Here is a 22,395-nt window from a genome sequence, read left to right as displayed (position 1 = left end):
TCTAAGGAATTTTGATATAGCAGCAAAAATGGACTAAGACAGTCAGGTCCTGATGACATGTGCCAAAGGTAGTCAGAGCGCAGCTTGGTTTTATACATTTTAGGAAAACATGAAACATAATCAACATATGTAAAATGAACATTGATTTGGACCAGAAAGGCGGGACAACTTGAAGTAAAAGTGAAACAACTTTAAGCAGGCAGATGGCTTCCAGGTCACAGAGAGGTGAGAGATAAATGTAGGCCACATTACTCTGAAGTCCATACGTTGATAGGCAGGTATGAAAGTGGCTTATGTATGTAAACAGATTGCTGTTATTTTCTTCTGAAGTTTAAGTTGTTTAGCTTCAGTTTGCAGGGCTTTATGAAAGAACATCTTAGTTTTTAGTAATTTCAAATAAGGAAAAATGGAAAAAAGAAAAAAATTGAAAACATTATTTTGCACACTAATAGCTAAGAAAACTTAGAATTCTGTCCAAACTGTAGAAAATAATAAAAATTTAAAAATGTTAGGCAAGACTAGAATTTAACAACAGGTGTACTATAGTTTTGAAACATAATATTTCTCTCTCCAGTTTCCCATTTTTACTAAAGATGAATCATGGTAGAGCTGGTTTGCTTTGTTATACCTGGCCTAATTATTTGCATACAGTGCAGCAAAATAATTATTTATTACATATGCTTTTAAATTGGCTTTGAGGGAACTGCGTTCCTCAGGAGGAATCTCAGATAAGACTTTTTTAAAGTTGAGCCCACCCATGGATTTGTGCCATTAAATACCCATGAGATGGATGATTCTCTCCTTTTGAAGTTCCATGATAAACCAGGGCTCCTGGGCCTGATAGAAAGTGACATTCTTTACCTACCCCAGGTCAGGAACCCTGTGCAGCAGCTGTGTAGGAAAAGGTATGAGGCTAGTTTTTCCAAGGGGCTTTTATTGGCTCTATAAGTCAAGTTTGATTCCTTAAAGGAAATCACACCATTCCAGTTAAAGCCTTGGTAAAATAACCACTTTCTTCAATTGCGTCCTGTTATAAATGAAAACAGATTTTCACTGCACTTATACAAATAACTGTGTTATTGTAAGTTAAGAACACTCACAAATAGTTTCCAAATTCTGGAGAAATCAGGTAGAGAGAAACAAATATACTTCAAATTTTGTTTATAGGAGTATACTTTACTTGTTAAAAGCTGTAAAGAGCTTAAAAGAAAATTTTTCTTGACTCTGAAAAACAAAACAAAGGATCAGCAACTTTTTAACCAAAAAGTTAAAAAGATTACTTTAGTCTTCTATTAGTTCAGTTCATGCAGTTTACTCCCATTCTGCTTGATATTCATGAACAATTTCGGTTGTCCATGAGAGTCTTGAAAGTTTTTCCTCTATTCTAATGTCACAATCTCCCAAGTTAACAGAAATCTGCACTTAAGAACACCTGTTAGAGTTCTATAGCTGATTATAAAGTCACCTTTTAACGAGGACCAAAATAAGACAACAATTGTCCATAGATGACAAAAGGTTTTATGGCAGCCATAGCTAAAGACACAATTGACAAGCAAATTTGTTACCTCTGTGCCACACAACAATTTAACATAACAATAAAAATTATGACTGATAATGTACACCAAGTTATATCAGAATTATAGGAGTTTCCCATGATTTGGGGATGCATACCAATAACACATTTATACAAATACAGCCTAAAGAAATCAAACACAGGCCGTGCCCGGTGGCTCAAGCCTGTAATCCCAGCACTTTGGGAGGCTGAGGCAGGTGGATCATGAGGTCAGGAGATTGAGACCAACCTGGCCAACGTGGTGAAACCCGTCTCTACTAAAAATACAAAAATTAGCCAGGCGTGGTGGTGGGCGCCTGTAGTCCCAGCTACTCAGGAGGCTGAAGCAGGAGAATCACTTGAACCCAGGAGGCAGAGGCTGCAGTGAGCCGAGATCACACCACTGCACTCCAGCCTGGACAGCAGGCCAGGCTCTGTCTCAAAAACAACAACAACAAAAAACCATTCATATTTGACAGTGTTTCCTGTACAATTTTTATATCAAATAAGGCAAATTATGTCATTATTGGACTTTAGGGGACCTAATATCTTAAAGGATTAATTAGATCAGAAGACATAATTTATAGTTTGATTTTGGACAGTTTATGAAATATCAAAGGATTAAAATGCTTGATATCACAGGTCATTGTAAAATAAGTCATTCATTTGACAAAAGTGATAACTCAAAAATTTCAAAAAGAGAGACAAAGACTTTCATTCTTTGAGAGGAGACTGAATTTTCCAAATAATAAGCCCTAATAAAAACAGCATGAAGCCAATTAAATTTGTTTTTCAAAATTTTATAAACAATCTACAAAATTTTAATCTTGACCATGAGATATAACTTTCATAAACCTTTTATAAACTTTATTTAAGAGTCAGCTAATGCTTCAAGAAAACCTTGTTAATCTGACACGGGCCCATATGCTGGTCTTGCATCAGTGTGCCTTTGACATTAATGATTAATTTATAGAGAAACTGAACTCAGGATTGACTCTTACATTCTCACACACCCACCTTTTCCATGATAGTCCCTGGGCCTTGAGGAGTTGAATAGCTTTAATTTCTGGCTCTATGTTTCAGGAATGCAGTTTATTTTGATTGACATCTTGTACTGGGCCTGAAGATGGGGCTTTAATTGCTGTCAGTGTTTAAAATTTAGCAGGACTTGGTGTCCCTTTGTGGACCCAAGAGTCAAAGCCCTGTAACTCAATGTCATAAGTACTTTGAAAGTGCATACAAAGAGATACACAGATGTAATAATCTGAATTTTAATTTTTTTTTTAATTTTTATTTTTTTTCCCTAAGCAACTTGGAGCAGGGAGGGGGCTTCCAGGTCACAGGTGGGTGAGAGACAAAAATGGTTGCATTCTTTTGAGTTTCTGATTAGTCTTTCCAAAGGAGGCAATCAGTTATGCATTTATCTCAGTGAGCAAAGGGAATACTTTGAATAGCATGGGAGGCAGGTTTGCCCTAAGCAGTTCTTAGCTTGAATTTTCCCCTTACCTTAGTGATTTTGGGGGCACAAGATATTTTCCTTTCACATTATATAACATACAATATTATGTAATATACAAATTCTATCTAATATTATTAACATATATATTATATAAATATAATATATAATTTAATATACAATAAACAAATACAAAATAAATATGTTATACTATATACTTACATATAACATGTATTATATATGTATGCATGTATATATGTAAGTTTATTGTATGCAAACATCACACATACACATATGATTGATATATATGTGTGTATATATAAATACAAAAGAGAAAGAAAAAGAGGAAAAGTAAACTTTAAATAAAACAGTGTGTTTTAGATGTTAATTTCCAAATGCTTCTAGAAGCTGGTACCCATTTTAGCTTGTGCCTGAGGGAAGTGGTTGTGATCTTTGCCCATCTGCAGTATCTCCAATCCTGTATCTAACATTATTAACATCTTGGGCCATCTGGCCAAATCTTTACATAAGGAAATCGAGAAGTAGCAGGATTTTGTAGTTGTCTTCTCTGTTGAAAAATTATTTTGGATATTTGTTCTCTGTATATTTCCTTCCACTTCCTATTTGTAACTGATTATCCATGACGTTTATGTTTCTTGCCCGAGATTTATGGGGCTTGAGAACAAGATGCCTTCCTGGCATTTGTTATTCTAAGGCCTGTCCTATTTTGAAAGGTTAAGTGCCAATGAAAGGGGGAGGGTACATTCAGGGGAGAAATGAGAAGGAAGTGGAGGAGGTAAAATTTTTCTAAGATCAAAAAAGAGGTCAGAATTGATGAAGGTAGGGTGAACTGGAGAAGGCGTGGCAGTGACCAGGCTTCAGAGCAAATTCCTTGCAGGAATAACTAGGAAGACAGGGCTCTGGGCAGGGGCTTCCCAGAAGCAGCTCAGATTATTGAAACCCTGTGTAGCTTAGGAGCAGAGATTGACAGGGCTTCTTTCCTCATGCGTGGACTAGGAGCAGTACCAGAAAGACAGTGGAGCCCTTTCAGCCATTTCGTGGATCTCATATAAACCTCCCTGGTTCTGTGAGATCCCAGGGAAGGATCTGGCCCCTAAATGACTGAGATGAAATTTCTTGACATCCTAGTGAAATAGTAGTTTGGAATTAAAATTCAGTTTATTTAAAGAATATAAATTACCGGAATCATGTTTGCACAACTGAGTGTACTATATGACTGAGATCTGATCCTGCTACTAAGATTTTTCTTAATGTAAAAACATGCAAAAATTCTTTAGTGCTTCTGCAATGAACGCCATTCAACAAGTATTTATTGAAGGCTTTCTAAGTGCCAGGCATTCAGGATACAATGGTGAACAGAACAGATATGCCAGAGCTTGTAACCTAGAAGCAGGATAAGCTAGTAAACAGGGAATTAAATAAGTGCACTAAGAATAATGACAGGGTAAAATAAGTTTATTAGAGGAGACATAGGAGACCACTTAACTCAGACTTAGGAAGTCAGACAAGAGAATGTTCCTCCAGGAAAAGGCTTAGAGAGAAGACAGTGTTCACTAAGTACTGGAAGAAATAAGAGTTAAACATGAAGTTCAAGGTGGGGAGTGAAGAAATGGGTGCAGGGAAGTCACCAACGTCCAGGACACTGATGACCTTAAAAGCAATGTTAAGGGACTAGGGCTTTTACGTGATTGCTCAAACTTTCATATCTAGTATAAATTTTCTGCAGGCTTCTAAAGAGGTCTTCATTTTTCCATTGCATTTTACATATATATATTTGCTACAGCTATTGATTCAGCAGGAAAAGCATTGTGATTTGTAAATTTGCTGGTTTGTATCTCAGAACTGTGCTATTTAGTAAGCAGTGAGAAGGTTTTATGGGTCACAAACGTTTTTAACCAGAAAAGAGCAGTTTCTAGTTTCTGGCCACTACCTGAAAATGCCTCCTCATTGCACAGGATTCATTTAGCTCTGTTTTGCTTCCTTTGTTGCAATATCAGACATCCCCGTGATTGCAGCAGCTCCAGCCCACTTCTGTGTAAAATAAGGAAGGAGAAATTTCTTCTAGTTTCAATTTTGGTTTATATCATCAGCTCTTAATATTTCAGTTTTGAAAACAAGCTGGCATTCAAAAACTAACCATATTGAATGATTTACTAGGCTAGACAAAAGAATTAAAACCCACCCAGTGTTACACAGGCCCAGGCAACTTTGGGCTTAGCAATGCCAGATGGTTTGCTCAAGGATAGGATAAATTAAGCCCCCCTAAAGTCAAGATCTGATATAGTCATATTATTAACACTTTCAACTATGCCATTAGCATTTGGAAAATTAAGATAGCTTAAGCATTAACATCGTATTCACTGCTTCAGATGCAAAGAGTGTTGCCTTAACCAATAGCTAAAAATTTCCATTTCCAAGGGCTTGGAAAGATTCCAGTCAATGTCTACCTGTTCACAGAAGCTGGATGAACAAGACATTATGATTCAGCTGACTTTATATTCACAGTGTGCAACAGAATTATAGCTTAAAATTGAAAGAAGTTTATATATATTTGGGAACAAACAATGGATTAAAAAAGATATCTGAAACATTTTTTGTATTCCTGAGTGGCACAAAGCTAATTGAAAAAAATAAAGTCCATCTACATAGTAATCTTAAAGCTATGTATTGAATAAAATTAGTTTAGAAGGCAATATGCTTTAGGATTCATTTAGCTTGATAACTGATCTAATCCTTTGTTATATTTGCACTTTTCCCGTTTAGGTGAATTGAATTTGGGCTCCCTAATAGGGACTGCTGAAGAGTTTATAAATACTATATTTTCCTTGTTCTGTAATGTGCAAGAGTGCTGACCACTAGGTCCTCATGACAAAATTCATATACACAATGGTTTCTTACGCCAACTACCACATGGTACAATCTTCTGTGAGGGGACTAGGCAGCCAGTGTGAAGGGCATGCACAGCCAAAGATGTTTTGTGTGTTTCAATCCATAGTCCTCCAAGGCCAGTAAGTTCACAGTTTTGCTGGAGTTGCTGGTATAACTTGGCAAGTCTTTGATTTCAATTGTATCAGTCAGGTAGGAGCCATCACACCCTCTGGCCATCTGCCAGGAAAAGAGACAAGACTCAACATTTCATGATGCAGCATTGTTGTATGACACAGAAGCAAAACTTTAAATCGCAATTACTCATGCCTTCACTGTAACTCTCCCAAGGTAAGATCCATTTAAAGCCAAGAGATTGAGAAAAGTGCGTCATCATGGCCTCCTACCTTAATAAGCAAGGGAAAAGAGGTAACAATCTTTCATTCTGGCAGTCATAGGCCTTAAAGTCTCTAGGCAAAACAATTGGAAGCTAGAGGTGTATTGAAAAGTGAGAAAAGAGATTGCGAAGTTAGACTTACTAGAGATTAATGCTGTATGGAAATAAATAACAATATTAGAACATTATTTGTATCTGAGTTTTGTTGAAAAGATGCATTATTTGTGTAGCTGAATTAAAATGCAGAATTTCAGATATAAAGCAAACGCAACAAAAATCCTATTGGACACTAAGGATGTAACAAAAGAGATCATAAAATAATACACTAGTCACAATTCTATACCACAGTTGTCTAAAAGAAATCGATTTGGATTTACCTGGGAATATTTTCTTGAGATGGGGTCTCGCTATGTTGTCCAGGCTGGTCATTAACTCCTTGCAGTCTTTTCATCTCGGCCTACCAAAGTGATGAGGATTACAGGCATGAGCCACCGTGACTAGCCACCTGAAAAATTATGATTCCTTTGATGGCAATTATACAAAAGTGGGTCTAATGGTAACATTTTAAAAATACTTTTAAACTCTCAAAACTTATTTATCCCAGTCCTTTGATGAAATTAACAACAATAACAAAAAGTAATATGGGTAAAATATCTAGTACAATGTCTAAAAATATGCTTAAAATGTTTTTTGTTATTTATTATGCCTGGTATAATTCCAAGAAAAACTAATGTTTATACACCTGTGTCACTTGACTAAGCTATATAATTCTTTACCTCCATGTTAACTATAGATACTTTCAAAGACTGAATACATCATGAACATAGCACTTACTAGGTTTGTTTTTATTGGCATAACTTTTTATTGTAAAGCATATCCATAAAAAAGAACATACATAGTATCTATATTTAGTGAGAATAATCCTCTAGAAACATATAACAAAACAGTATTAGTAATTCCCACTCTTGTAATTAGGTAGCATTAATTAAAATACAAACTCATAAATTTGTGAATAAGAAGATATACCCTTAACATGGATAATAACTAATGGGAAAACCTTAGAGACATTCACTTGAACCAGCTTATTGATGAGATACACTTTTATCATGCACCTCCTTTATTCTAGGCATTGTGACAGGTGCTGAAGATTCAGAAAAGGAAAAAGCATGAGCTCTGCTCTCAAGGAACTCAGATACTCACATAATTTGTCATTAGCAACATGCTTCAGTGTCTAATGAGGCAAACAAAGATTGTTACCTAGCTTTCCTTTGGAAATTCTGGTAAGGGCATAAGATTAACAGAGAGCAGTAATTATTTGAAAGAGCTTCATTATTTGCAACGTATATTTTTATGACTCTAGAAAATCTAACAGAATGATTACGAAAATTTTAGAATTAGTAACAGACCTTAATAAAGTGGTAGAATAGAAGCTTTTGTTAAAATATTTGCAGAAAAACAACAATAGTGTGTAAATAAATAGGGTGAAGTGATTTATATAAATAGCAACAAAATAATAAACACCAAACAATGCCAAGCATGATGGCTCACACCTGTAATCCTAGCACTTTGAGAGGCCAAGGCAGATAGATCATTTGAGCCCAGGAGTTCAAGACCAGCCTGGGCAACATGGTGAAACCACGTCTCTAAAAAAATACAAAAATTAGCCAGGCATGGTGGCATGCACCTGTATCCCAGCTACTCAGGAGGCTGAAGTGGGAAGATCCCTTCAGCCCGGGAGGTTGAGGCTGTGGTGAGCCGTGATCGTGCCACTGCACTCCAGCCTGGGTGACAGAGTGAGACCCTGTCTCAAAAAAAAAAAAATACAAAGCAAAACAATACACAAATCTCTAGGAATTGCCCTAACAAGAAATATGTCAGAGTCTATTAAACACATATACATACACATCCACACATGCAGAAAACATCATAAAACTATTCAAATACATGGTGAGTTTTAAATAGATGGCTATTCCACATTTCTAAACCAAAAAATTTAATATGATAAAGACCCATAACATTTATCCCAAATTTACCATGATTCCAATGAAGGTGGCACTGGTTGTATTATCATTATTGGAATTAAACATGATGTTTTGAAAATTCATCTAGAGAAGCTAAGAAAATTTTGAAACAAAAATTATAGGAGATTTTCTTTATAAGATATTAAGGTATATTATATCACAAAAATAATAGAATAGGCAATTTTTGCAAATATTGTTAGGCAATGAAACAGAATTGATAGATCTAAAACAGTTTAGCGTACATGGGAACTTAGTAAACATCATGAATCAATAGGGAACAAATTGATTATTATGTAAATAGCTCTGAAGAAACTCACAAATTATTGGAAAAGGATATCAACTTTACTCACCATATTAAAATAAACATCATCTTTTTAAATTCCAGAGGGATATGAGACTTTGTAAAAAAAAAAATGTGGAAGTGCTTTCTGAGCACAAATGTCTTAAAAGCCCACCAGAAAGTTTATTACATTTAGTTGAATTTTTAAAAATTAAATTACAGGAGCCGTTCTGAACCTATCCTGGTTTGGAGGTGCCTGATTCGTGAAAGAAAAATTAATTAATTAATTAAAGTCAGTACATAAAAATATATTAAAATTTATTTGTCAAAGGACAGAGGGAATATATTTGAAAAACAGACTATGAGTAAAAAGTTATCTTTTCTTTTTTCCTTTTCTCCTTCTTTCTTTTCTTCAACAAACATGTATTAAGTTTTGGCCAAAGCTGTGTAGGAATTAAAGATTCAATGGCAAACATAGATTTAGTTCCCAGGACTGCTGCCGTCCACAGGGTACCTCTGAGGGAGCTAGAGAAAAAGGCACCCCTGTTGATTGCAGATTGTGGAATTAAGAAGGGCTGGATTTCAGGTTCCACTAGCTAGCCTCAGTTTTTACCCCTGGGCAATAAACTTACATGGCCCTATTTGGGTACATTCCAGTTCTGCTCACAACCTAATAGGCAAAAAATGTCAATTAAACAATTACTATATAAAGATGCAAAGCAATACAGAGTAGGGGGCTCTTAACCAGAACTGAAGAGAGCAGGGATGGGTAGTTGGCAGAAGTAGCAATTAAGAAGTGAAGATTGCGCAAGATTTGCACATGGAGACAGGGCAGCATGTGCACTAAGGTGAGATCTTCATTCCATAATGAGCTTTTGCAACCAATAAAAAAATTGGCATCAGAAAATAAAATGGGGCAGGATATACCGAAATTATCAGAATATTAAGTTAAAAATACGAAAAAAATTTATCTTCTCAAGTAATCAAAAAATACAAATGAAACAGCAATGGCAATACTAATTTTCTTCTATAAAATTGATAATATTTGATAATATCTGTTAAAAGCCTTGAAAGAACTCATACCCTTTGTTCAAGTAATTCTTCTTAAAACTCTAATATAAAATAAAAACAATAGAAATGCAAAGATTAAATGTAAAAGCATTCATGATCAAACATGGATGCCATCACTGAAGAATGAATAAACAAAATGTTGCATATTTATAAAATGGAATATTATTCAGCCATAAAAAGTAATAAGGCTGGGCATGGTGGTTCACAGATTGCCTGTAACCCCAGCCCTTTGGGAGGCCAAGATGGGAGGATAGCTAGAGCCCAGGAGTTTGAGGTTAAAGTGAGCTATGATGGGCGCCTGTATTAGTCCATTCTCACACTGCTCTGAAGAAATACCCAAGACTGGGTAATTTATAGAGGAAAGAGGTTTGATTGACTCACAGTTCTCCATTGCTGGGGAGGCTTCGGGAAACTTACAATCATGGCAGAAGGCAAAGGAGAAGCAGGCTCTTTCTTCACAGGGCGGCAGGACGGAGTGAGTGCGAAGCGCAGGGGGAAGCCCCTTATAAAATCATCAGATCCTGGCCGGGCGCTGTGGCTCAGTACAGTTTATTCGCCTGTAATCCCAGCACTTTGTGAGGCCGAGGCGGATGGATTACGAAGTCAGGAGTTTGAGAGCAGCCTGGCCAACATGGTGAAACCCCGTCTCTACTAAAAATACAAAAATTAGCCTGGCGCGTGGTGGCAGGTGCCTGTAGTCCCAGCTACTCGAGATGCTGAGGCAGGAGGATCCTTGAACCCAGAAGGCGGAGATTGCGGGTGAGCGGAGATCGCTCCACCGCACATCAGCCTGGGCTAAAGAGCAAAACTCTGTCTAAAAAAAAAAAAAAAAAAAAAAAAAAAAAAAAAAAAAAAGAAAGAAAGAAAAAAGAGAAGAGAAGAAAAAAGAAAAGAAAAGAAAAGAAAAGAAAAAAAAACCATCAGATCCCGTGAGAATGAACTCACTATCACGAGAACAGCATGGGGGAAACCACTCCCATGATTCAGTTATCTCCACCTCTTCTCTCGCTTGACACGTGGGGATTATGGAAATTGTGGGGACTACAATTCAAAGTGAGATTTTGGCTGGCAACACAGTCAAACCATATCAGCACCACTGAACTTCAGCCTGGGCAACAGAGTGATAATCAGTCTTTAAAAAGGAATGACATTTTGACGCATGCTACATCATGGACAATTCTTGAAAACATTGTGCCAAATGAAAGAAGACAGTCACAAAAGACCAAATAGAAAAGTGGTTGCTTGGGATTGAGGGACAGGGAGAAACTAGGATGGGTGGATAGGGGGATGGTGACTAAAGGGTGCAGGGTTTCTTTTGGGGATGATGAAAATGTTCATAAGTTGCTTGTGGTGGTGGTTGCACACGTTTATACATATGATAAAAAACAAAAGTACACTTTGAATGAGTGAATTGTATAGTATGTGACTTATGTCTCAATAAAGCTGTCTAAAAACAATGTGTATGATAGCAAAAAATAAAGAAAAACCCTAATATCCAAAAAAATATACAAATGGTTTGACAATATCATGATACAAGTATAAATTAGAATAATATGTGTAAAACACTGCATAATATGATGTTAAAGTATGAAAATAGAGTACTATTTATGTCTATATAACACATTGACATAGATTAGTTATTTCTGGGTGCTGACATTTGTGGGTGATTTTTATCTCTTCCTTAATTTTTTGCTCATTAAACCTGTTTCATAGCACAGGCATCTATTTTTACAATTAAAGGAAATGACACATTAGAAAAAAGATGGAAACAAATTTGAAAAAAAATGTAAGAATGCCCAAAACTAGACTTCTGGGAGAAGAATATAAATCTTGGAAGATAAAATATTAAAATGTAGTACTTCATTGGGTTTCTTTTTTGTTTGTTCCCCTTTTTTTTTAAAAAAAAGCATACTATATTTTACACAATTAACTTTATGCCCTACACTTCTTGTGGTGAGCCACAGCTATTTAAAACTTTTTTTTTCTCACATTTGTCATTCAGAAGAAATAGCAAGCTGTTCACAAATGATATACAGCTCTAAAAATGCTACTTTCTTCTTGTGATTTGAGCATATAAAGAAAAAACACAGCTGAGTGATTTAATGGGTACTTCATAATAAGTGTCAGAGACAGAGTTCTAAGGGGCTGATACAGTTAGAACTGAACAACAATGTAAAGAACTACTAATGGAATTCTTGAAACTATAATACAACATTTAGAATTATTTAAGTGGATATTCCTCCCTATGTGTGGAGTTTAAGCAGCTTTAGAAGCTATCTTTTCTAAAATCATCTTCATCTTGTCCAAATGGAAAGAACATACTGTGGTTATGTACAGAAATACGTATAGTTTTAGAAATTCATATGTAGGGGTGGAATAACATGACTATTATTTGCTTTAAATGCTTCAGTGAAAGGAAAGAAAGGGAAAAAATAGATGGATGAAGCATACGTGACAAAATTCTGATAATTATTCTGGGTTATTGATATATTTGGGTTTATTACATGTTGTGCAAGTTTGTGTAACATAGTATCTTTTAAGTGGAAAAGACATTTTAAATTTATTTTAAAGAGTATAAATATAATTTAAAGAAAAAGATTAATAAATTACATGAGGCATAGAGAAAGCTTATGAATCTTAGTTAATGTAGGTATACTAAAGATGCTTAAATTTTATGTTGTTACTCCAAACATCAGTAAGCCATGTGAAAAAAAAGTTTTTACTTGCAAGCTAGAAGAGGCCCTAAGATTGTCCTAAAACAACATAAATAATTTTCCTTGTCTTGTTTCTGATCTTAAAGGAAAAACTCTCAACTTTTCATCATTGAGTAGGATGTTAGCTGTAGGTTTGTACATCATTTCATCATTGAGTAGGATGTTAGCTGTAGGTTTGTAGTGTAGTACAATAAAGGCATTGTATTGAGGAACATTATTTCTATACCTAATTTGTTCAAATTTTTCATTATGAAATGATATTGAATTTTTTCAAGTGCTTTTCTGCATCTATTGAGATCATCATACGATATTTATCCTTCATTCTGTTAATGTTATATATCACATTTATTGATTTGTGTATGTTGAATAACCTTTTAATCCCAGTAATTAATCCCACTTGATCATGGTGTATGATCCTTTTAATGTGCTGTTTGCTAGAAATTGAGGATTTTTGCATGTATGTTCATCATGGATATTGGCCTGTAATTTTCTTTTCTTACAGGGTACTTGTCTGGCTTTGGTATCAGCATAATGTTGGCCTCATAAAATGAGTTTGGATGTATTTCCTCCTCTTAAATATTTTGAAAAAGTTTGAGAAAAACTGACGATTATTCTTTACATGTTTGGGGGAATTCACCAGTACAGCCATCAGGTCCTGGGCTTTTCTTTGATGAGAGATTTTTGATTACTAATTAAATCTCCTTACTTATTATAAATCTGCCCATATTTTCCATTTCTTCATGATTTGGTATTGGTAGATTATATATTTGTTAGAATTTGGTCCTTTCTTCTAGGTTATCCAGTTTGTTGCCATATAATTGTTCATAGTAGTCTCTAATGATTCTTTGTATTTCTCTGGTATTTCTTGTACTGTCTTCTCTAATTTCTGATTTTATGTATTTGAGACTTCTTTCTTTCTTTCTTAGTCTAGTTAAAAGTTTGTGAATTTTGTTTGTCTTTTCAGAAACCCATCTTTTACTGTCAATTTTCTCTATTGTTATTCTAGTCTCTATTTTATTTATTTCTGCTCTGATCTTTATTATTTCGTTTCTTCTACTAACTTTGAGCTCAGTTTGTTCCCCCTCTAAGTATTGCCTCCTGCTGAGGCAATCTTCCTACCTCAGCCTCCTAAAGTGCTAGGATTATAGGCATGAGCTACCACACCTAACCCTCTCTCTTTTTTTTTTTTTGTTTTTAACATCAGGCAGTTTATTTAACCTTTCTTTAAGTTCGTCCACTCTAAAATTTCAGTAACAAATGCTAATACTTGATGAGCAATATATATATGAAACAAGATGAACACTCAATGAATATTTATTTTTTATAGTAATAAAGATGTTACCTCCTCTATTTTAGAAATTTCTATAATTCTAATAAAAAGTTGCTAAATGATATTGGTTATTTTAAAATTTAATTTCCCAAAATATTTCGTTTTTGTTTCTTTATTGTATTTTGTTTTAAGACAGGGTCTTGCTCTGTCACCCAGGTTGAAGTACAGTGACATGATCATAGCTCACTGCAGCCTCAAACTCCAGAGCTCAAGCAATCCTCCCATTTCACCCTCCCAAGTAGCTAGGACTACAGGCTCATGCTAAAATGCCTGACTAATTCGTTTTCTTATTTTTTGTAGAGATAGGGTCTTGCTGTTTGGCCAAGGCTGGTCTTGAACTCCTAGACTCAAGCAATCCTTCTGCCTCAGCCTCAAGTGCTGGGCAAGTGCAAGCCACCATGCCTGGCCAGTATTTCTTTTGAAACTACCATATTTTATGCTTGAGACTTACTTTGAGAATATAACACTTTCTGTGGAGAGCATTTACTGGGAGTTACATTGGTCCTTGGGGAGTTGGGAACCCTTTGGTTTCTACTGGCTGGAATCCACCCTGAGCTCATCCACTGATGAGCTGCGTATGTCTCAAATGCTGACCATTATTCTCCCTACAGCATCAGCATCCCATTGCCAGGAGACCCTTCCAGATGTATGAAAATTGCTGGGGTGTTGATGTCTTATTTTAGTATCTTTGGAAGAAAAGAAATGTAAAGTATGAGCACTGCAACATTTTAAAATAGGCTTTTATGATTCAGCAGCATCTAAGGAAAAAACTAAATTTGTCGCTGATTCCTGATTGTTCTTCAACAACAGTTTAAGATTTACTGCTTTGTTGTCAAAGAAATATTTTCAAATAACATCTGTATATTTCTTTTTATATCTCTGGAACTGAAGCAAGGAACCCAAAACCAAAAGCACTTTGAACCAGTTTTAAATATGAAACATGAAATGTGGCATTAGCATCTAGCATGACATTTTTCCTGTAGTAAATGCTCGAAAAGCATACATAAAATATAATTGAAAAATTATCCAAAATAAGTGGTCCTAGAGTTTACCAGTATTAAAGATTTATTTGGAAAGATAAAAAGAGGAGACTTATACCTATATTGAGTACAGTTGACCCTTGAATAATATTTTTGTTTGGTTTACATGATGAGTTTGAGTTGCTAAATGATATTGAGTTAGTTTAAAATTTAATTTCCCAAAATATTTCTTTTTTGTTTCTTTGTTGTGTTTTGTTTTGAGATAGGGTCTTGCTTTTTCACCCAGGTAGGAGGGGTTAGTGGCACTGACCTCCCTATGCAGTCAAAAATCTGCATATAACTTTCGACTCGCCCCAAATTTAACTGCTAATAGCCTACAGTTGACAGCAACTGTTTATGTTACTGATAACATAAACAGTTGTCTGGGCATGGTGACTCATGCCTGCAATCCCAGCACTTTGGGAGGCTGAGTCAGGAGGATCCCTTGAAGCCAGGAGTTTGAGATCAGCTTGGGTAACATAGTGAGACCCTGTCTCTACAAAAAATGAAAAATTAGCTAGGCATGGTGGCACTCACCTGTAGCCTTAGCTACTCAGGAGGCTGAGGTAAGAGGATCACTTGAGACCACGCGTTCAAGTCTGTAGTGAGCTAGGATAGTGCCACTGCATTCTGGATTCCAGCCTGGGAGACAAAGCAAGACGCTGTCTCAAAAAAAAGATTTAGCAGTTGACTAATACATATTTTGTAGTTATATGTATTATATACTGAATTCTTACAATAAAGTAGACTAGAGAAAAGAAAATGTAAAGAAAATTGTAAGGTAGAAAAAATTGATTTACTGTTCCTTACATGGAAGTGGATCATCATAAACGTCTTTATCCTTAGTGTCTCCATGTTGAGTAGGCAAAGGAGAAGGAGGAAGAGGTGGAGTAGGACTTGCTGTCTCAGGGGTGGCAGCAGTGGAAGAAACTTTGCATAGAAGTGAACCTGTGCAGCTCAAACCTGTATTGTTCACTGCAATTATTTCTAAGACTAGGAACAACAACAAAAAGTGTTATCATATACATAAAAGCTCTTAAGTATCCTACACAATATTGTGTCTCTGGATACTAACTCAGTAGCAAAGTAAAAGACAGTGTGAATGTAGTATTTATTATGGTGAGCTATGATCATGTCACTGTACTCCAACCTGTGTGACAAAGCAAGACCCTGTCTCCAAACAAAATACAACAAAGAAACAAACAATAAATATTCTTGGAAACTAAATTTTAAAATAACTCAATATCATTTAGTAACTCAAAGATTAAATAACACATGGCTGATGGGCAGCCCGGGATTCCAGCAGATGCAGTATGGATGAAGAGCATGTGATCTAAATCACTGTATGAAACTGCATCATATAAACAAAGCAAAACACAGGATGAACTCATTTCCCTTCTTTGGTTCCATCTCTCTCATTTTAAACTTTAACTGAAGTTTAAAGTTTAAACTTTTAAACTTTAAAGTTTAAAAGTTTAAAATTTAAACCGAAGTCAGTTAAACTTCGGGTGTCCTCATAGCCTATCCGCTCTTAAATTTTATTAACTGTGTCAATTCAAAGCTTTCTGGCTTCTGTGCCCAATATCTACCAAAACCACTCCCACCAAGACCACCAATGACTTCACAGAACAGTGTGGAAATAGGGTGGTCTTTGGAATCCTACAGGCCTGAATTTATATCCCAGCAAGTTATTTAACATCTCTAATCTTCAGTTTCACCTCATGCAATTGTTGAGAGATCAAATGAGATAACAGATGTGAAACAACTGGTACATTTTCATTTGAAATCATAATAATACTAATGATAATTGACCTTTAAGCAACATTTAATATTAACTACTCCTCCTTTCTTGAAACCATCTGCACCTTTGGCTTTTAGGAATCTACTTTGCTCTGGCATTCTCCTAATTTTCTAGAAAATTATTGGTCTATTTCATAATTTTATCTTCATTTCCTTAAATCCCAAATATTGATATTTCCCAAGGGTTTATTTTTGACACTTTTCCCTTCTTGCTTGAGATCAATGATTCTTAATTAATGTGTGTTGGGAAAGAGGGCAGAGGGGAATTGAAGGGCCCTTTCAGAATTACTAGAATAATTTTTTCAGACTAGGTATCTTCCATTCCTGACCCACAGACCATTCTGATATATCCCCTTTAGGGCATAATATAGTATATTTTAACTTTTTTTACTAGTTTACTGGTTGTGATAACTAGCCTTTCTAAATTTATAAAGCCTTAGTGTTTCTTTTTTTTTTTGGCACACATAAATGCACATCTAGAAATCCTCAGTGATAAATGTGGAGAAAGTTGTTATCTTCCTCTCTTCACATTTCTTTCTTGGGTTGGGTCATAAAATAGATACTCTCACCAAATCTTCTCGCCTTTCAAGAAGTACTAGTGACCTTCCTTCAATACTTACCCTACCTTGGGGATGTTCTGGGGAAAACGCTGCCATCATTCTGTCCACCCTTTTACTTCCCAAAAGAAGAGAGATTTGTTTAATAGGAAAATTGGGGAGAAGCTGATATCTATTGTCCCATGTTTCTTTACTGGACAAACTAGTGTATTAAAGTTCATTGCCTATGAGAGATCTTATTTCTTGGAATTAATTGTTCCCTTCTGTCTCCCTCCCTTCTTCTCTTTCTCTCTCTCTCTCTCTCTGTGTGTGTGTGTGTGTGTGTGTGTGTGTGTGTGTAAGCATGCACAGAGGAAAAACCACATGAGGACACAGTGAGAAGGCAGCCACCTGCAAGGCAAGGAGAGAGGCTCAGAAGATAACTAACCTGCCAGCATCTTTTTCTTTGACTTTCAGCATCCACGACTGTGATAAAATAAATTTCTGTTGTTTACCTAATCTGTGGTGTTTTGTTATGGCAACCCCAGCAAACTGATATAAGGCTGTTATGAAGATTAAAAGTTAATATATATAAAGTGCCTGGCAATATGCATTTCTTATTGTTATTGCTTCCCTCAAAATTCAGTTTTTGTATATCTTTAATTCTTAGAGCTCACTTCCTTCTTCTATATAATTAGATTTACTAGTTTACTGTTTTTCTTTTCTGGTAGTTTGTAAGCCTCCAAAAGAATGAGGTACCACATTGGCCTGTTCAAATATAAAAGTGATTGGAACATATTAAGGACTAAATAAATATTTATTAAATTAATGAAGGCCTTATGACCAATGTAGGTGCTCTGCCAAATTATTTTTGCTAAACATGGGCCAATTGATTTGAGCATGTCTTCTTTCTGACTTGTCACTGAATTCATGTTCCATTTACTTAAAAAAACAAACTGTATTTAAGGATATAATATAGATTACAGAACTGAATCTTATCTTTTTACTGACCTTACAGAAATATGTTGAATAGGAAATGAAGGAAATAGTTACAAAGAATATGATGTCAGAATGTTTGGGTAAAGATAGAAAACACATCTGAGTGGCATCAATAACAAACAGCCTCACAGGAAGGAAAGCACATTGGCTATAGGTATTCTCCCTCCTACTCTCTAGTGGAGATAGTTTTTACCTTGAGGACAGTGGCGCATTCAGCATAAGAATAGGGGTCATCTATGACTCATGAGTCTGATGTACTGGGGTCAAAGCCACCCAGATAACATCCCCAGTCTGGTCGCAGAACCATAGGCTTCATTTACTAACCTTGTACATATCAGTGGTTAAGCCCTAGAGCTTACATTATGGGATAGGCCCTCTAGAGATTCTACTGAGATTTATGTTCCTGAGCATGAAGTAGGAAGAAGATGAAAAAGCATGATTTACTTTGATGGAAGCAGTGTGTTCTGTTCCTCCTGTCTTATATTGTACTTGAGAGTGTGGTGGTGCCCAAGAGGTAGCAAGAACAGTATTTGCAGATTGGGCAATGCAGCCGGGCCTCAAAATAATAAATAAGGTTCAACTGGGAAAAAAGCAACATAACCTATTGAGGGAAAAATAATCCATACGCTATTAATAAGACAAAGACTGTAACTAGCAAAGACAGGAGCATAATTAGGCCTTCAAAACATCAGTATAGGGTATTATTTGGTCAAAAGAATCAATAAAACACCAGTTATTTTTCAGAAAGGAAGGAAATTGTGAAACAGGCAGGTTGTCTAGCTTAGTTTCTTTAGTATCCACATTGTCTCAAAGGAAGTCAAAAGAAGTTCTGGGTGAAGAAACTTTAAAGATGACTTAACAAATCTGGAGCGGATCAAAGGAGAATACTAAAGTAGCATAGGAGACAAAGTTGCTTCTATAGGAGCAAATACTTATGACTGTTTAGTCTGAACAGATGAAATAAGGTAAAGTCAAAGAGCATAATATGACGATGGATGTAGATAGGACACAGGTAAACTTCTTCACCAGACCACCAAGTTTTAGAATAGGAAAGGACAGACTGATGGAACATTATCACTGTGAAAGGAAAATATCTTGGGCCCCCAAAATCACTAAGCTAAAGGGAAAATTCAAGCTGAGAACTGTTTAGGGCATACCTGCCTCCCATTCTATTCAAAGTCATCCCTCTGCTCACTGAGATAAATGCATATCTGATTGCCTTCTTTGGAGAGGCTAATCAGAAACTCAAAAGAATGTGACTGTTTGTCTCTCAGCTACCTGTGCCCTGAAGCCTGTCCCCACTTTGAGTTGTCCAGCTTTTTTGCTTCAAATTGTCCCGCCTTTCTGGACCAAATCAGTGTTCATTTTACATGTGTCAATTGATGTCTCATCCTCCCTAAAATGTATAAAACCAAGCTCTGCTCTGACCACCTTAGACACATGTTGTCAGGACTTCCAGGGGCTGTGTCATAGGTGTGTGTCCTCAACCTTGGCAAACTAAACTATCTAAATTAACTGAGACCTGTCTCAGATTTTCAGGGTTTACATCTGACAAATCTCCTTTCAGTGCTTGGTGCCAACATCAGCTAACTCTATGGCTCAAAACAACAGGACAATTTGCTGAGGTCTGGGAGCAGCACCTCCAGAGAATCCCTTATCTCCCCAAATTTGGTCGAGATCTAAAGTTTATTTTGCTGTACAACTCCATTTTTTGGAGTTTTACTGGCTTTCAACCAGGAAGACAAGATTTCCTGTTTCCATGACGATGACGACGACGATGGAAGGCAGGTAACTCCTTTATGGAGTTTGAGCTCGCTCCCAGCAGGGAAGATGAGTTTTTTCCTACTTCTAGAATGGTAGAAAGCATTCTTCAGCCTGAGACCCATCCCTAGGTAAGCAGCCGCATGGGAGTTTTTGTCTTGACTAAAGTTTAACAACCAGCTGGTCTTAATTTCTCCTTACCATTAGAGCACTCATTGATCATATTGTTGGAGTTTTGTTGTTGTTGTTGTTGTTGTTGTTGTTGTTGGTTGTTCTGGTCTTTCTCCCATCAGATTTGATCAACTCTACCTGACTTGGTCAAATAAGAGTAAGAATTCAAAATTATAGGTAACAAGGTTTCTCTAATCTGGCCCAAATTCCTTACAGCTGCAAAAGAGAATTAAAAAAACAAAAAACAACAACAAAAAAAACGTGCACTTGGTTTTTATGTTTGCTTCCTGCAATACCAAAAAAATCTAGAGAAGGCTTCTAATGACTTGAACTCCTTTAAAGAATTCAAAACAAAGGTGCCACTCACCCCTTTTGGCCTTTTGGGTGTTCTGTTTTCTTTGGGGAGTTTTAAGAGCCATGGGCAGATTCTTCTTTGGTCTAAAGCTCTGTTTTCCTGTATTGCATGACCTGACCTCTATGGATTTGGGAATACCAGAGATAACCTTGCACTGTGAGAGGATTTGATGTTGGTGTGTATAATGTCGAATGACAGCTACAAATTTACAAGCAGCTGAATACAGTTTACAGGACCTGGTCTTGGCTGTCTTTATTTCCTTTCTTGCCTAGGAAGTTATTTGCTTAAGGATCCTAATTCTAGTTCGGAGACGCATTCTAAAGGGTTTTCTTTATTGCTTTTTCTCCCAAAATAATCTCAATTCGGTTCGTCTGTGTGCATTTGCATGAGGAACTGAACTGTTGTTTTCATAGGTAAATAAGAGACAGAGTTTTCTCAGTTCTGAAAAGAAAAGGCCTCCCAGCCGAAAGGCACCCATGGGTGACGGGGGCCTTCGTGAGAGTGTCTGAGGGGTTGACCCCTATGACATGCAATGGCCCTGCAGGAAAATCCCCAACAAAAATTAATTTTAAAAATGGCTCATCCAGGAAACACATATAAGGGCTGATCACCCGGCATTTTGAGCCCTCTCAGAGGTCTCAAAAGAGAGAGAAACTGAGACACATAAGGGGTGGAAACAATTCAGTGGTGACACACTATGGAGTCCTGCCTACAAGCAGCATGCATCAATCCACCACACAAAAACCCCAGGCCACAGCTCATTTCCTCCTTTTAAGACCAAAAAAAAAAAAAAAGAAAAGCAGGAAACAGATAATCTAAGAATTAGGAGAAAACAAGGAGAATGACCTGCTTTCAAGCACTATGTAGGTTTTATGGCACTTCTACTTGCCAGAATAAAATGAAAGTAATATGGTCTTTGTGTACATTTACATTAATGAAAAAGTGCCCTGAGGTCAACCTGCAAACTATAGAGTTCCTAGGTTCCCTTTATCTCCATTTTCATTTCTGCCTGCTTTAAATCTGCTGTTACTTTTCTACTGAGATAAAAACAGCTGTTTGGATCTAACAGGTATTCTTTTTTTAATTTTTTTATTTTTGCAAGCTGGCTAATGTGTATGTATCAAAAGGCTAGAGTACTGAGGTAAAAGCTATAGAATCTTCGTGTGTGTATGTGTATATGCATATGTGTATGTGTATACATTTGAGGGCCTTTATAATAGACTTCTATAATTTTATGTTTAATCAGCCATTAAATCCGTTTTAATTTTCCTCTAGCTCACCAGACTTTCTCTTCATACCTTATGACGTAAATTTTGTTATCTGATTAAAGGAGTTGTTTCCTTTAATATGCAAATTTAAGGCTATTTAGCTGACAATGGCCTAGGGTAAGGTTTTTTTAAAAAAGGAAAAGAAAGAAGTCTTTATGAATCTATAAGATGTACTTCTACTGGCATGCCTAATACTTCTATATATTTATGTGTTGTGTATACAATGTTTCACTACTAAAAATATATAAAAGAGCTGTAATTAATTGGCTTAACAAAAAAGGAATTAAAATCAGATACTAAACAAAAGACTAGTAAAATGCTTTTTCAACTTCATATTACTTAAGTAAAATCTTTAATAAATAAGCTGGCTTTAAAATTATTGGTAAAATAATATTAGAAATGTCATAAGAATTTGACAGTATACATTTTTGTTAGCATTTATTAGTCAAGCAATTTTATACTTATCCCTGACAAGTACTCCAAGGTGTCAAAATTTGGCATAGAGGTTACAAAACTATAAATCCAGGCCAAAACAGAATGATCTTTGCTTGTGTAATCTTTAATTAAATAAGACATTAATATTGGTTTATTAAAAATAGCTACATCTTGAATTTAATAAGATTATCATAACTTCTAATCTTGTGGCTTTAGGCGGTCTAGTCCACAGGCAGTAAAGTTTGTTATTGCCTGTTTTTAAAGCTAAACTATAAATTCCTCCCAAAGTTAGTTCAGTCTACACCAAGGAATGGACAAGGATAGCTTGAAGGTTAAAAGCAAGA

The 22,395-nt window shown here is 35.9% G+C and overlaps 2 long non-coding RNA genes across 5 annotated transcripts in view; one reads left to right on the top strand and one right to left on the bottom strand.

The window, feature by feature from the left end:
- LRRK2-DT (LRRK2 divergent transcript) overlaps nucleotides 1–22,395 on the top strand; it is an 82,057-nt gene that overhangs the window by 9,898 nt on the left and 49,764 nt on the right. The window lies entirely within an intron of this gene.
- LOC105369735 (uncharacterized) lies at nucleotides 4,467–6,881 on the bottom strand. Of its 3 annotated transcripts, none has more exons than XR_007063561.1 (3): nucleotides 6,669–6,881; nucleotides 5,928–6,134; nucleotides 5,005–5,060 (listed from the first exon to the last, which is right to left on the bottom strand). It is a non-coding gene; the product is annotated as an uncharacterized LOC105369735 (long non-coding RNA). The 3 variants fall into 3 exon arrangements; XR_944865.4 differs by lacking the exon at nucleotides 6,669–6,881 and adding an exon at nucleotides 6,302–6,404; XR_007063560.1 differs by lacking the exon at nucleotides 6,669–6,881 and adding an exon at nucleotides 6,302–6,404 and having other exon boundaries at nucleotides 4,467–6,134.

Source organism: Homo sapiens, chromosome 12 (assembly GCF_000001405.40).
Source record: "Homo sapiens chromosome 12, GRCh38.p14 Primary Assembly".
NCBI classification, from domain to species: Eukaryota; Metazoa; Chordata; class Mammalia; order Primates; family Hominidae; genus Homo; species Homo sapiens.
This window is presented reverse-complemented; position numbering and strand designations above follow the sequence as displayed.